The 16,685-nt window shown below is 51.3% G+C and overlaps 1 protein-coding gene across 8 annotated transcripts in view; it reads left to right on the top strand.

The window, feature by feature from the left end:
• The window catches only part of SRL (sarcalumenin), a 52,707-nt gene that overhangs the window by 32,423 nt on the left and 3,599 nt on the right, over nt 1-16,685 (top strand). For 6 of the 8 annotated variants that reach the window (NM_001098814.2, NM_001323667.1, XM_047434447.1 and 3 more), the window contains 4 exons: nt 5,024-5,125; nt 6,397-6,492; nt 11,743-11,859; nt 13,872-14,105. In NM_001098814.2, coding sequence (NP_001092284.1) covers nt 5,024-5,125; nt 6,397-6,492; nt 11,743-11,859; nt 13,872-14,105 — 549 coding nt within the window. Of the gene's footprint in view, nt 1-1,553; nt 2,932-5,023; nt 5,126-6,396; nt 6,493-11,742; nt 11,860-13,871; nt 14,106-16,685 lie in introns of all 8 variants that reach the window. The other 2 variants (NM_001435440.1, NM_001323668.1) reach the window with 2 other exon arrangements.

Raw genomic sequence — 16,685 nt, 5'->3', positions numbered from 1 at the left:
GTCTATGGGAACTAATGAGAAAATATTTGCTCCTGATCCCTGGAGGCCACCCAGCTTTTGGGGAACAAGGGTGGGTACCCTGAGGGAGAAGGGGTACTCCAAGAAGTGGCTTTTCTTTGTGGGAGGGAGAGATGGGAGTAGCAAGTGGTGGCCTGAGAGAGGGGGGTTGTCTGCATCCAGCAGATAGGTGGGGTACTCTTCCTCGGAGAGGGGCCTTGAGAGTCAAGGAAGAACAGAGGCTGCCTCAGCTGCTCCAAGGCAGGACACCTGTGGTCCCCTCATCTCCATGAGCCTGCAATGTCCCCCATAAACAGACCCTAGCCTGGGGGCAGGGGGCAGAGGGGTGGGCCTAATGGGCCCCATTTTCTTTTTTCTTTTTTTTTTTGAGATGGAGTCTCACTCTGTCGCCCAGCCTGGAGTGCAGTGGCGCGATCTCGGCTCACTGCAACCTCCACCTCCCGGTTCAAGTCATTCTCCAGCCTCAGCCTCCTGAGTAGCCGGGATTACAGGTGTGTGTCACCACACCCAGCTAATTTTTCATATTTTTAGTAGAGATGGGGTTTCACCATGTTGGCCAGGCTGGTCTCAAACTCCCAACCTCAGGTGATCTGCCTATCTCGACCTCCCAAAGTGCTGGGATTACAGGCATGAGCCACCACACTTAGCCTTTTCTGACCCCATTTTCCAAACATATTAAACTTGATCCTTGACAGAGGTCTCTGGCACAGATGAGGCCCCTACTCTTCTCTCTTCCTGGGCCCTCTGCTCTCTGGGTTAAGCTGCAGTCCCTTACAAGGGGATCCCCTTGGAAGGGGTTGGCCAGAGCCTTTGGGAAGCCAGGCCCGGCCTGTTTTAGATATCTCCTCCTCAGGCCATGTACCCTCTAATCTAAGGTAGGGGGGCCAGCAAATGCCTGCCCTTACTGGGACAGGGTTAGATGTGTGACTTAATAAGGTTGAGAGCCACAAGTAATCCCTTAAGCACCGTGCTGTGTAACCTAAGATTATCCGGCCTGCAAACACCTGTTTTCACTCCTTCGCTGAGAGCAGTATTAAAAGCCTGCTGGTTAATGACAGTAGGAACTGCCATGAGGTGGGATGCACAAGCATTTGTCCCTTCTTGGAAGCATCTCCAAGGTTGAGCCCAGCTGCACACGCCCGTGAGCAAGGTTGAGGGACTGGAAGGGCTCGCCCAACTTTCCCTCCATATACAGTCATCAGGACCAAGCCCGGAAGCTTGAAGGTCAGGGCCAGGGTCGCGGTGCGGGGGCGGTTCTCGGGTTAGCACAGCTGCTCACTTCGTTAGTGATGGACAACGGGTCAGTCCTTTAACTCCCTGATCCACAGCTTCTACATCTTGGGAGGGAGGCAGAATAACACCTATTCTGCTCGCTACGCACGAGGTAGTCCTGAAGACCCAGGTTGGTGGGCGTAACACTGCACACCAGGCCAACACCACATCCCAGAAGACGGGAGCTAGGTTATTATAGACTCTTGAGAAACAGAGCCGGTGCCAACCCTGTGAAACTGACCAATCATGTTCTAATCATTTAGAACTGCAAGTCTCCGCGTCGGGTGGCACAGAAGATGTTGGCAATTTGTTGGAGAATCATTTCTCTGCTGGAGACGCAAGTCTAGAGGAGAAAGAAAGGGCGCTTTATGCAGACACAGCCCCTCAAGACAAGAAACTGCTCCTTCACTACCCAGATGGCAGGGAGGCCGAGAGCCCCAAGAAGACCCCCGCGTCTGCCGCCAGCGCGGGCCCCGATCCTGAAGCCAGCCTCTCCAATGCCTCAGCCACAGAGTCACCTCCACCTGGGGAAAGGGACGACAGGGACGCTGCGGGGCCTGGGGAGGAAAAGAATGGCCCACCAGTGGCAAGCGCCCTCCCTCCAGGAGGGGCCAAGGGGCCTGTGGAAGAGGAGTGGCCGGAGCCCAGTTCTGGAGAGGGACAAGGAGAGGAGGAGACTGGGTTTGGGCTCCCCACGGAGGGAACTGCCAGTGGAGAGGCAGGAGGACAGGCTGGGGGCCATGAACTCCCCGAGGAAGTCCAGGAGGTCCAAGGGGACAGCCTGGTGCAGGGAGCAGTAGCAGGGACAGCAGAGCCAAAGGCAGAGGGGGCCTCTCCTCACTCAGAGGGTGATGGGGTCGGCCCACTGAACGCAGAGGCCGAGGGCAGCCCTGGGCCTGGCGAGGAGCCTGCAGTGCCAGAGGGAGCCCCTGACGTCGCGGCTGTTGGGGGAGAGTCGGAGCCAGATATTGACACACAAGCCAGTGAGGGCACCGAGGACCAGGGGGAGCCCGGCCCAGCTGCAGAGGCCAGTGCAGAGCCTGGGGGCGCCCAAAGCGTTAAGGCAGGGGACACTGAGGAGAACCAGTCCCCAGAGATGACTGAGGAGGACGCAGATGAAGCCTCCTCTGAAGAGGAAAGTGGTGATGGAAGTGGAAGCGAGGAAGAAGGAGGAGTTCCCTCCGAAGAGGAGTCCGAAGAGGACAGCGGCGATGGGGCTAGCTCAGAAGAAGCAGAGGGCGCCTCCGAGGAGGCCACGGAGCCCCAGGAGGCTGGGGAGCCCCAGGAAGCCAGGGAGCCCCAGGAAGGCGGGGATCTGCAGGAAGCCGAGGAGTCCCAGGAAGGCGGGGATCCCCAGGAAGCCGAGGAGCCCCAGGAAGGTGGAGCGCCACAGGAAGGCGGGGAGCCCCAGGAAGGTGGGGATCCCCAGGAAGCCAGGGAGCCCCAGGAAGCCAGGGAACCCCAGGAAGGTGCAGAGCTTCCGGAAGCCACAGGAACCACAAGTCACAGGGACAGAGGGGCCCAGCCTGGCCCGGAGGAATTGAATACAGAGTCCATGGGCAGTGAGACCCTGGATATGAAGGCAGAGGAGCCCGAGGAGGGACATCAGGGGGAGGGAGAGTCCCATCATTGTTGCCCAGGGTAGGAATTAATTCCCTAACAGCAACCCCGTCCCTTGGGCAGCTGCATTCTCCCTGGAAGTCTTGTGTGTAGGGGACAGGCAGGGACAGAAGGTGGCAGAGGGTGGCAGGCCCTTTTCACAGTCCCGGCCCGGGGAGGTGGCTTCAGGCTGTGCATTGGCCACTGGCCTCCAGCTTGGAGGGGCCAGTGAGAGGGGTCAGAGGGGCCCTGGTACTTCCGAGTCAGGGGCCCCAGAACCTCCCCTTAGGGTCCCTGATGCGCCGTAGCCCATGCCAGTGCCTCAGCCTAAAGGAGCAGCGAGCTAATGGAATGATTGGTGCCCCGGGGCCAGCGGGTGGAGGGACGTGCAGGGAATGGATGGGGGTGGGTTGGGAACTTCCCTGGTGATTCCCTTAGTGGGCTAGGACTGGGGTCTCCCCTTGAAGACTAGGCTGTAGGAAGCATTGCAGAACCAGGACTGAGGGGTCAGGATCATGAGATGAGAACTCAGGCTGTGACCGCTGTTGACTCTCAAGTGCCCACCTAAAGCAGCCAAAGCTGCCCTCAAAGGGCTCGGGGCCAGGAGCAGAGGGGGAAGGGCCGGGCTAAGCTCTCGGGCAGTGTGAGAATTGCAGCCAATACGAGGGTCGGTCAGGCACCTTCATGGCTGCATCTGCTTAGTACATGGACTTAGACCAGGAGTGGGGCTTTCAGGGTAGAGGTCGAGGTCAAGTCTTCACTCTCCAAGATGGCTTCCCCACAGGCTTCGTTGAAGAATTAATTTACATACTTTTTTTTTTTTGAGACAAGGTCTCACTCTGTCACCCAGGCTGGGCTGCAGTCGTGCAGTCATAGCTCACTGCAGCTTCTAACTCCTGAGCTCAAGTGCTCAAGCGATCCTCCCACCTCAGCCTCCTGAGTAGCTGGGACTACAGGCATGCACTATCACGCTAGGCTGCCTGCCTAGAGCCCCTCACTGGCTCCCATTGCTCTTGGGATGAAACCCAAAGCCCTGTGGAAGGTCCTGCCCGGTCAGCCCTGAGGACCTCAGCAGCTCCCCAGCACCCAGGCCTCCCCAGCTGCAGCCAGACACCCCTTCTCCTGCTTCTTGCTAAATAAGGCTCGTCTGGGGCTTTTGCAGAACGCTTCTCTCCACTGGTCACCTAACTCACTCCCCCCAGCAGAGACCTGGGGAGGCCTTCTCTGACCGTGCTGCTGAGACCACTGGTGCAGGCACACTCCTGAGCCGCACTTAGCTTTCAGAATGTTTCCTTCTGTGGCCACCTCATCATCTGTAATGATTACATTTTATTAATTATTTTTATTGTTTTTGAGACAGGGTCTCCCTCTTTTGCCCAGGCTGGGGTTCAAGCCAAAAGGCATTCTCCTACCTAGCCCTAAAGCCTCCTGAGATGTTTGATGTTTTAATTTTTTAAGATAGGGTCTTGCTGTGTGACCTAGGCTGGAGTGCAGTGGGGTGGTCATGGCTCACTGCAGCCTTGACCTCCTGAGCTGAGAGAATCCTCCTGTCTCAGCTTCCTGAGCTGAGACTATGGGTGTGCACCACTCCTTGGAAAGTTTTTTTTTGGTAGAGATGGGGTCTTGCTATGTTGCCTAGGCTGGTCTCCAACTTTTGGGCTCCAGTGATCCTCCCATCTGGACCTCCTAAAGTGCTAGGATTACAGGTGTGAGCCACTGCACTCGGCCCTAGCGTTACTTTAAAGACTATCATCTCTGACTCCACTGGACTAAGAGCAGCTGCCTAAGGAGTTGTGCCTGTTTTGGGCACCACTGTATTCCCAGCATGATGCTCAGTGCCTGGCGTGGCGAAGGTGTTCAATGCATATTTGTTGAATATATGAAATAAATAGATAAGAAGGTTTCTGCAGGTTGAGCTGTGGACCAGCTCCCCGAATGCGAATACACTACACATGGAACTTCATAGAGTCTGGATGATCAAATTCCTTCCTAAAGGCAGAGCTCAGTCCAGTGTAACTTGGCAAGACCCTGTTGAGCCCCTGCTTGAGGCCCAGCCCTCGTCTGCTGTGCCGGGGCCCAGAGCTCAGCTGGCTGTTAGCTTTGCTCTCACTTGGCTGTCTGCTTCTCTCCACAGAAGAGACGGAGGATGCAAATGAAGAAGCCCCATTGAGGGACCGCTCCCACATCGAGAAGACCCTCATGCTGAATGAGGACAAGCCATCCGATGACTACTCTGGTAACCAGGGGAGGGAGATATGCCCAGGGCTGGGAGAGCCCGGCCACCAGGGCCCGGGCAGACTCCTGGAGGCTCCTGAGAGCCAGGGCGTGCCGGGGCTGTATCTTGGAGGCCGGGGCTGTATCTATCTTGGAGGCTGGAGGGGACGTTGGGGAAGAGGAGAGCCCTGAAGGTGGGAGGCTTCGTGGAGGAGGCTCTGTGAGCAAGGTCCAAGCCTTGGGGTTCCAGGTGGGCACAGAGGAGGAAGGGCCATCCAAGTAGACGGCCTGGTGTGGGCGAAGCCAGTGCAGCCCCATGCTGTGCTGATGCCATCTCCCTCGCTGTGATTTTTAGTTTATAAAGCCGTTTCATGTGTGCTGTTTCATTTTATCTTTGAAACCCAAGGATTGCAGCAGGGCTTGTCTCCTCTTAATCAATGAGCCACCTAACTGGAGCTCAGGCTAGCAGCGATTTGCTCCTGGCCCACGGCTAGAGGGTGGCGGATCGAGGGGTAGAGTCTCGCTAGCCTGACTCGTCACCCCATAGGCCTTCCCACTGTGGGCTCCCAGCAGGGAGCTAACTCTTAGAAAGAGGCCACCTGGGTTATCTGACCCCACCCCTCCGGGGAGTGTCTGGGAGTACACTGACAGGCCAACGCCAGGGCCAGGGTGCTGTTCTGCGCGCCTGCTGGGTGCTGGGCCTCTTTGCCTTCTAAGCCTCAGGGAGCACACACAGAGGTGGGCAACAGAGATGGAATTCTCATCCACCAAAGAAAGGGCTTGCAGTGAGGCAGCAGGCCGAGACAAGGTTTCAGACACACTACTGAGGTGAGGAAGGAGGAGAGAGGTTTTAAAAAAAAACAGCTCAGGCCGGGCACAGTGGCTTATGTCTGTAATTCCAGCACTTTGGGAGGCTGAGGTGGGTGGATCACTTGAGCCCAGGAGTTAGAGGCTGCAGTGAGCTATGATTGCACCACTGCACTCCAGCCTGGGTGACAGAGCAAGATCCTTTCTCTAAATAAATAAATAAATAATAAAATAAAATAACCAAACAGTTCAGGAAGCTTTGGGGGTGGGTAGGAGAATGCCTTTTCATTTGGAGGTTTCTGCGAGTTGAGATGTGGGCCAGCTCCCCATATGCAAATACATTGCACAGTCGCTGGGCTGCAAACAGCACTTGCTGCCCACCAGGCAGGGGTGGAGCTGCCCTGGGTGGTGAGGCCCCTCCACAATGGAGGAGCTGCCTGGATCGCACCTGCGTGATGCTCTTCCCCCGGCCCTCTCTGTCTCCAGCGGTGCTGCAGCGGCTTCGGAAGATCTACCACTCATCCATCAAGCCTCTGGAGCAGTCCTACAAGTACAATGAGCTCCGGCAGCATGAGATCACAGGTAGGGCTTGAGATAACAGGTAGGGCTTGAGATTACGGGTACGGCGCAGGCCTGTCGGCGGGGCCACACTGCTGACCGGCCTGGACTCTCCCGGTACCCACACAGGTTCAGGAGCTCATTCATGATGTGTGCAAGGACTTGTGGGTCTGGGTCTGGGCTCCCCCTGGGAGTTGGAAAGGACGACACCTCCATCACGGAACTACCCTTTCACCAGCACAGCGCGATGCTTTACCAGGGTGTTACAGATGCATTTTGGTTTTAAGCCTTTATGCTTCAGTCATGCACATTTGAGTTTTCAAAGGCGATGATGCCTATTTCAATCCCTCCTGTGCTCCAGAGGCCACAGGTGCCCCCTGTCTACTCATGGGTGGTGCCTGAGTCCTCTGATCACTCCGTTCCTTCCCCTCCTGCTATTGCCCTTCCACTCTGCTTCCCTTGGGCCTGGATTCTTTACAAAATTGATTTTCAAAATAATAAAAATAAGACACACTTGTTGCAAAAATTCAAATAGTGCAGAATGGTATACGTTGAAAAATAAAAATTATATTCTTGACCTCCAGCTTTTTTTTTTTTGAGATGGAGTCTCGCTCTGTCACTCATACTGGAGTGCAGTGGCGCAATCTCGGCTCACTGCAAGCTCTGCCTCCCAGGTTCACGCCATTCTTCTGCCTCAGCCTCCCGAATAGCTGGGACTACAGGCACCTGCCACCACGCCTGGCCAATTTTTTGTATTTTTAGTAGAGATGGGGTTTCACCATGTTAGCCAGGATGGTCTCTGTCTGCGGACCTCGTGATCTGCCCGCTTCGGCCTCCCAAAGTGCTGGGATTACAAGCGTGAGCCACCGCTCCCAGCCGACCTCCAACTTCTTTAATTCGACTCCCAGAGAAACACATCGTTATAGTGAAGCCTTCCAAGCATTTCCTCTTCATGTGTGAGCACATAGATGGATGTTGTTTTTTGTTTTTACAAACATGGGATCCTGTTAGGTGAGCTGTGTGTGTGGAAACCTCCCTCCTTCCCTCTGACAGCTGTGTGCTCCTCCCCTGCGTGACCACGCCATGCTCTGGAAAACCAGCACCCTCCTGGTGGCTCACGCCTGTAATCTCAGTACTTTGGGAGGCAGAGGTGGGAGGATGGCTTGAGCCCAGGAGTTTGAGACCAGCCTGGGAAACATAGTCAGACCCCATCTCTACAAAAAATACAAAAATTAGGGGCGGGCGTGGTGGCTCACACCTGTAATACCAGCACTTTAGGAGGCCAAGGCGGGCAGATCATGAGGTCAGGAGTTCGAGACCAGCCCAGCCAACATGGTGAAACCCCGTTTCTATTAAAAATACAAAAATTAGCCCTGCCTAGTGGCTGGCGGCTGTAATCCTAGCTACTCAGGAGGGTGAGGCAACAGAATTGCTTGAACCCGGGAGGCAGAGGTTGCAGTGAGCTGAGATTGTGCCACTGCACTCCAGCCTGGGTAACAGAGCAAGACTCCATCTCAAAACAAACAAACAAACAAACAAACAAACAAACAAAACACACACACAAAAATTGGGCCCAGCGTGATGGCTCATAGCACTTTTAAAAACAATCCGATGGCCGGGCACAGTGGCTCACACCTATAGTCCCAGCAGTTTGGGAGGCTGAGGCGAGCAGATCCCTTGAGGCCAGGAGTTTGAGACCAGCCTGGCCAACATGGCAGAACCCTGCCTCTACTAAAAATCCAAAAATTGGCTGGGTGTGGTGGTGGGTGCCTATAATCCCAGCTACTGGGGAAGCTGAGGTACGAGAATCACTTGAACTGGGGAGGCAGAGGTTGCAGTGAGCCGAGATTGTGCCACTGCACTCCAGCCTGGGTGACAGAGTGAGACTCCATCTCAAAAAAAGAAAAAAATAGCTGGACATGGTGGCATGCGCCTGTGGTCCCAGCTACTCGGGAGGCTGAGGCAGGAGGATCATTTGAGCCTGGGAGGCAGAGATTGCAGTAAACTGAGATTGCACCACTGCACTCCAGCCTGGGCGACAGAGTGAGACCCTGTCTCAAAAAAAAAAAAAAATTGGAACCCTGGAATTAAACATTTTGCTAGTTGTTGCCATATTGTCTCCCATGATACCAATTTGTACTCACAATAACAGTAGATGAGAGTCCTTGTTTCCCAACAGCAATGCAATTTAAAAATGTTACTCATCTTTAAAAAATTTAGCAGTGGTATCTTATTGTTTTTTGAATGAGATTAGAAATCTTTCCCTGTGTTAATTGGGCTGTTTCTATATGATCTCATTTGATGCTCTGGATGGCTGTAAGTGGCCAGGGTGTAATAGGGTTTGTATTCTTCCTGCTCTACAGAGGGGAGCCTGAGGCCCAGAGACGTGCTGGGTTACCCAGGATCACACAGCTGGAAGCAGGGAATACCCTGTTCCACAGCTACCTGTACTATTTTTTGTAGCCTAGCAGCCAATTATCGCCCCCCTTTGTAGTGGATGCACAGCTATTGGTATGAGCTTGCAGAGCCTCCCGAAGGGTTTTTCTTTCTCTCTTGGCCCTAAGACCCGGAGTCTTGGCCCTCCTAGGAAACTTGTGTGTACAGCAGCAGGGCCAGGAGCTCCAGAGTCCCCAGGGCATGGCGCTCTGCAGGGAGGTCCCGCTTCCTTGCCCCTGCACTCACCTTTTGGGCTTGGTTCTTAACTCCTAGTCTCTGGCCAGCTTCCTTGTAACCTCTCCCAGGCTCACCTCCCACCTCCTGTATAGGCCAGCGGTGCCCCCTGCTGTGAGGAGCCGAAACCACAGCACCAGGAAAGGGCCCTGTTTGTGGTTTGTCTCGGAGAACCGGAACATCTAGGGCTCTCCTTGGTGTCGCCTGGGCCGGTGTTAAGATACTGTGACATCTCTGTGGCTGTAACTGGGGATTCCTGCCACCCTCTCAGCCTCCTTATCCCTTCCTGGCCCCCAGCCAGGGCTTGACTTCCACAGAGATGTGAGTGTCTCCTGTGTATTCACAGACAGGGAGGGATGGGGCAGGGCCATGGTGTTGCTTTCAGGCAACGTACATGTGCCTGCCATGTATAAGACACCACCTGGTTAGGACTGAGCTTTAGCCTCGGAGAAGGAAGACCAGAGCATCCGAAGGCAAGATACAGAAGAGGAAGCATATGGCAACGCTCTCTGTAAAAAGATGGGGCCGGGTGTGGGGGCTCACGCCTGTAATCCCAGCACTTTGGGAAGCCGAGGCAGGTGGATCACTTGAGGTCAAGAGTTCGAGACCAGCCTGGGCAACATGGTAAAACCCCATCTCTACTAAAAATACAAAAATTAGCCAGGCGTGGTGGCACGCACCTGTAGTCCCAGCTGCTTGGGAGGCTGAGGCAGGAGAATGGCTTGAACCCAGGAGGCAGAGGCTGCAGTGAGCTGAGATTGTGCCACTGCACTCTAGCCTGGGGAACAGAGCAAGACTCTGTCTCAAAAAAAAAAAAAAAAAAAAAGGAAAAGAAAAGAAGATGGGGAGGGGCTGGGTGCCGGGCTCATGCCTGCAATAGAAGCACTTTGGGAGGCCAAGGTGGGTGGATCTCTTGAGCCCAGGAGTTGGAGACCAGCCTAGGCAACATGGCAAGACCCCATCTCTACTCTAAATACAAAAATGAGCTGGGCTTGGTGGTACATGCCTGTGGTCTCAGCTACTCAGGAGGCTGAGGTGGGAGGATCGCTTGAGCCTGGGAGGTTGAGGCTATATGAGCTATGATCACACCACTGCACTGTGGTTTGGGCGACAGAGTGAGACACTGTCTCAAAAAAAAAAAAAAAAAAAAAAAAAGATGGGGAATATGTTAGCTACAAATATTGCTTATATATGCATTAAAATGTCTAAAATAACATGTAAGAAGTCAGCAGTGGTTACCTATTCCAGGGGGTGTCAGGGCTGAGGCAGACTGGGATGGAGATGGGAGACTTTTCACTGTTTACCTTTTTATATTCCTGATCTTTGAACCAAGAAATTAAATAAATTAAAATCATGATAAATAAATGAAACAAAAGGGGAGTGCCTAGTGTTTTTAGGGTGGCCTGCTGGCCTCAGGGAGACGAGTCTGGAGAACTTCAGTGCTGAGTTATGCAGGACTGGCCCTCTGTGCTGTAGTCCAGAGAAGAGCTGGAAGAGCTGAGGCCTGAAAATCTGCAATAAGACTGACCACACCCCACGTTGAAAGCCTCTCCCCTTCCCTCCCTGTCCACTGGATTTGAAAGCACGAGAGCATTCTATTTTTCCTCTTAGGGACCCACCTGGAGTGGCCCTTGCAGGGTCATCTCCCCAACATGGCCTTCGGAAGGACATTGGATGCAGGACCCAAGAATTGCCAGTTCATTGTTTGGTTTTGGGCACTGGCAAATTTGTCATGGACTTTAGAGGCTAGTGTTTGAGAGTGGCCCTAGAAGAGGGTAAGTGCAATGGTTCATAGCTGTAATCCCAGCATTTTGGGGAGCCAAGTGAGAAGATTGCTTGAGCCCAGAAGTTTGAGACCAGCCTGAGCAACGTTGCAAGACCCCATCTCTACAAAAAAAAATTTTTAAATTTGCTGGGCATAGTGGTGCATGCCTGTAGTCCTAGCTACTACTTGGGAGGCTGAAGTGGGAGGATTGCTTGAGCCCAGTAATTGTAGTGGGGCACAATTGCACCACTGCATTTCAGCCTGGGCAACGGAGACCCTGATTCTAAACAAAAGAGGGCAGAAAGAGAGAGAGAGACACTGGCCTCAGAGTCCAGGATTAGGCTGTATTGGGAATTTGGGGAGCCCCAGGCTGGAGGAGAGGAGAGCTGCAGAGGCTGGAGACAGGAAGGGTCTGAGTCCAGACCACCCAAGATTATACAAGCTGCTCCACATCCATCCTCCATTCTCAACCCAGATTCTCTCCATGTGGAAGCTCCGTCCTCCTTTCTCTATGGGCTTTTCTCCTCCAGATTTAACCAGGAGACCTCACCCAGAGTGAGTTCGGAGTCAGGGTTTGTTGAATTCACTGAGATCCTTCTTGTGGTGGGGGCAGACGTGCCAAGGATCTGGGCAAGGCCCAAAAGTGACTTCTGTGTCTTTTTACTGGGTGATCACACTTACGTAGCAAGAGAAGCGCCACTGGGGGCTACACACGTCTGATTCATGGAGAATTCCACAACTCAGTTGGATGGACGGTGAGATGCTTTGGAGTACGGTGCCATACCCCTTGTGTGAACTTTTGTTAGTTTTATTCCATTTCTACTTCCTGTTGCCCACAGATGGAGAGATTACCTCCAAGCCCATGGTACTGTTCCTGGGACCGTGGAGTGTTGGTAAATCTACCATGATAAACTACCTCCTTGGGCTGGAAAATACTCGCTATCAGCTCTATACAGGTAATCAATATTCTTGTGTGATTGTTGGGATTTGAATGTTGTATGTAAAAGCACCATGAAAATTTAAATCACTGGCCGGACATTATGACTCATGCCTGTAATCCCAGCACATTGGGAGGCCAAGGCAGTGGATCACTTGAGGCCGTCAGTTTGAGACCAGCCTGGCCAACATGGCAAAAACCCATCTCTACTAAAAAAAAAATACAAAAATTAGCTAAGCATGGTGACACGTTCCTGTAATCCCAGCTACTCAGGAACTTGAGACATGAGAATTGCTTGAACCTAGAAGGCAGAGATTGTAGTGAGCTGAGATTGTGCCACTGCACTCCAGCCTGGGTGACAGAGCGAGACTCCGTCTCAAAAAAAAAAAAAAAAAAGGAAAGAAAAGTTATGCCACATGCACGTGTTAAAATACAAAATTTGAAAAAGGCTGTGCATGGTGGCTTTATGCCTGTAATCCCAGCACTTTGGGAGGCTGAGGCAGGAGGATGACCTGAGGTCAGGAGTTCGAGACCAGCCTGGCCAACATGGTGAAACCCCGTCTCTACTAAAAATACAAAAAATTAGCTGGGTGTGATGGCGGGTGCCTGTAGTCCCAGCTACTTGGGAGGCTGAGGCAGCGGAATTGCTTGAACCCAGGAGGCAGAGGTTGCAGTGAGCCAAAATCGCGCCACTGCACTCCAGCCTGGGCGACAGAGTGAGACTCTGTCTCACAAAAAAAAAAAAAAAAAAAAAAAAGAAAATTTGGAAAAAACAGAAAACAAAAAAAGACATCTGCACCAATGTCCATAGCAGCATTATTCACAATAGCCAAAACATGGAAACCAGTCAAATGTTCATCAATGGATGAAAGGATCAAGAAAATGTGGTCTGTTCATACATAAATTATTATTCAGCCTTAAAAAGGAATGAAATTCTGATATCTGCTACATGGATGAACCATGAAGACATTATGCTAAAAGAAAGAAGACAGACACAAGAGGACAAATACTGTCTGATTTCACTTATATGACAGTAGGCGGCTGGGCGCGGTGGCTCACGCCTGTAATCCCAGCACTTTGGGAGGCCGAGGTGGGTTGATCACAAGGTCAGGACTTCAAGACCAGCCTGGCCAAGATGGTGAAACCTTGTCTCTACTAAAAATACAAAAATTAGCTGGGCATGGTGCTGGGCACCTGTAATCCCAGCTACTTGGGAGGCTGAGGCAGGAGAATCGCTTGAACCCGGGGGCGGAGGTTGCAGTGAGCTGAGATCATGCCACTGCACTCCAGCCTGGGCGATAGAGTGAGACTCTGCTCCAAAAAGGAAAAAAAAAAAAAAAAAAAAAGAAGGCAAAATCAGAGAGAGAGACGCCAGAGTGCTTGTAACCAGGGACTGGGGGAAGAGGAAATGGGGAATGACTGTTTAATGGATACAGAGTTTTCAGTTGGGAAGATAAAAACATTCTGGACCTGGATGGTGGCGATGGTTGCACAACAGGGTGAATGTGCTTAATGCCACTGAACTGCATGCTTTAAAATGATTAAAATGGTAAATTTAGGCCAGGAGCAATGGCCCACACCTGTAATCCCAGCACTTCGGGAGGCCAAGGTGGGCAGATCATTAAGGTCAGAAGTTCGAGACCAGCCTGGCCAACACGGTGAAACTCTGTCTCTACTAAAAATACAAAAATTAGCCAGGCATGGTGGCGAGTGCCTGTAATCTCAGCTACTCGGGAGGCTGAGGTGGGAGAATCGCTTGAACCTGGGAGATGGAGGCTGCAGTGAGCTGAGATTGCACCACTGCTTTCCAGCCTGGGTGACAGAGCAAGACTCCATCTCAAAAAGAAAAAAAAGGTAAATTTTATGTTATGTATGTTTTACCACAATTAAAAGAAAGCCCCAATAGCTTGGCAAACATATCCAATTCTGTTGCAAAAGTCTCCCTGTGACACCAGGCATATACACATGCTTCTCAGTAGATCTGTTTCACAGAGATCATGTATTCCTTCACCTCTCACCCCGTGTGCCCAGGCGCTGAACCCACCACCTCTGAGTTCACGGTCCTCATGCATGGGCCTAAGCTGAAAACCATCGAGGGCATCGTCATGGCTGCTGACAGCGCCCGTTCCTTCTCACCCCTTGAGAAGTTTGGCCAGAATTTCCTAGAGAAGCTGATTGGCATTGAGGTTCCCCACAAACTTCTGGAGAGGGTCACTTTTGTGGATACACCAGGCATCATCGAGAACCGCAAGCAGCAAGAAAGAGGTAATTTAGCCCTCATTTCTGAACAGTGTAAGCTCTGTTTCAAAAAATTATTTTTGGCCAGGCATGATGGCTCATGCCTGTGATCCCAACTCTTTGGGAGACCAAGACAGGAGGATCCCTTGAGGCCGGAGGTTCAAGACCAGCCTGAGCAACATAGTGAAACCTCATCTCTACAAAAAAATTTAAACAATAGCCAGGCATGTTCGCATGTGCCTATGGTCCTAGCTACCCAGGAGGCTGAGGTGGGAAGATTGCTTGAGCTGAGGAAGTTGAGGCTGCAATGAGCCGTAATCGTGCCACTCTACTCCAGCCTGGGCAAGAGTGAGACCCTAACTTATATAAATAAATGAATAAATAAGGCTGGGCACAGTGGCTCACACCTGTAATCCCAGCACTCTGGGAGGCCAAGGCAGGTGGATCACTTAAGCCCAGGTGTTCTAGACCAGCTTGGACAACATGGCAAAACCCCGCCTCTACAAAAAATATAAAAATTAGGTTGGCATGGTGGCACATGACTGTAGTCCCAGCTACTCGGGAGGCTGAGTTGGGAGGATTGCTTGAGCCCAGGAGGTCAAGGCTGCAGTGAGCTGTGGTCATGCTACTGCACTCCAGCCTTAGTGACACAGCAAGACTCTGTCTCAGAAAAAAAAAAAGGAAGAAAAGAAAACTACTTTTGACAGTGGGTGGTAGGCAGGCAGGGAGAGGAAGTGTGCCCAGTGTTGCCTAAGACCAGGAGAGGCATTCTTAACTTCCACCCTTCTTGTCGTTACTGCGATGCCATCTGGGTTTTGGAGTGCCTGGTGCTCCTACCTCCCCAAGGACTGATTTGGTTTGGAGACGGCAATATTTTCCAAAGTGGGGGCCTAGTCCTCTCTGCAAGCAGCTCTGAGAGGTTCAAGCTGGGGCTCAGTTGTCTTTGGGAGGCCCTGTGTGTCCTGTGTAGCCAAGGGCCTGGACTAATTGGATCCCAGTACCAGTATGTTTGACTTCTGGCTAAATTGGGTTTGGTGCTCCTGGGCCTGCTGTAGGTTGAACCTGACCTTCAACTCCTCCTATTCCCGGTTTCTGCTTTTCCAGGGTTGCTTCCCCATAAGCCTTTAGCAGGCTTCTTCAAAGCCCTACTTGCCCTCAGGTAGCAGGGGAATGCTAATGTCTGACTTCACTTACATGAGAGTAGGCAAAATGAGAAAGACAGAAACCAGAGTGGTTTTAACCAGGGGCTGGGGGGAAGGGGAGATGGGCAGTTACTGTTAATGGGTACAGAATTTTCAATTTGGGAAGATGAATAAGTTCCAGAGAGGGATGGCCATGATGGTTGTGCAACAGTGTGAATGTATTTAATGAACAAGGCTGACAACCAGGCCACAAGACTAGAAGCCAGATCCACCAGGCATGTGGCTATGGAGTAGGCCACTGAGTCCTGCCATGAGGCAAGGCTGTCTGCAGTGAGTCCTGAACAGGGCAGTGCAGGAATGTGTGAGCAGACGGTGGATCTCAGTTTATGGTTACAACTCCAATTGTGGTTATAAATAGATCTTGTAGTAATGATATTAGCAGTAATATTAGAAGCAATTAATAATATTAGTAGTAATATTAGTAATAATATTATAGTATATTTAATTATATTATTATGGTATAATGACATTAGTAGTATTATTAGTAATGTTAATAATGTTAATAATTATAATAGTAAATTGTACCCCTACTACACGTTGGATAATTTTATACATTATTGTAAAAAAAAAAAGATTTCAATGTTTTTAAGACAGGTAGTCCTCATCTCCTCAGTTTTCTTATTTGCAAAGAAAACTAGGAAATAAGAAGCTAATGGAATTAAAATGTATTCTGCACCAGCTGTATGACTGGAATTTTAGGTGCTGTCCTATATTTACAGCAACATGGTAATCTTTATATCAGTTCAGATGTTGATATTGTTCTTCTTGTCATTTTGGAGCTAAAAAGGTAGAGCTTAGAGGCATTTAATATACAGCTCGCCAGGGGCAAAGCTCAAATTCTAGTCCAGGTCTCAATGCTAAGCCCACATTCCTTCCCCGTAAATAATGCATTCATTCTTTCATGTTCTTCTAATTCCTCATTTCTCTCCCTCAGCATCTTTGCCATTGCCCCAGATCCTTTTAGACAATAGGACAATCTCCATTTTGAACAGGTATTTAGCTTTCTTGGAAACTTGGATTTCACAGTAGATTAAAACAATGATCAGGTGGGGCATGGTGGCTCACGCCTATTACCCCAGCACTTTGGGAGGCTGAGGTGGGAGGATTCTTAAACCCGGGAGGTTGAGGCTGCAGTGAGCTATAATCATGCCACTGCACTCCAGCCTGGGTGACAGAGTGAGACCCTGTCTCAAAAAACAAACCAACAAGAAAAACAAGGATCAGGCTGTTCTTGGTTGAAGATTGGCAAGGGACAGGAGATATGCAATTGATTTTTTAATAGTCTGTAGAAACCCAGAAAATCCGTAGCGCTGTTCCTTCTTTCAACCCCCAGAATGGTTTAGTTCTGAAAGGAGGTGCGCGGGCTTTGAGGGAGGCCTACTCAGTTTGACTTCTCACTTCTGTC

This window comes from Homo sapiens, chromosome 16 (genome assembly GCF_000001405.40).
Source record: "Homo sapiens chromosome 16, GRCh38.p14 Primary Assembly".
Taxonomy (NCBI): Eukaryota; Metazoa; Chordata; class Mammalia; order Primates; family Hominidae; genus Homo; species Homo sapiens.
This window is presented reverse-complemented; position numbering and strand designations above follow the sequence as displayed.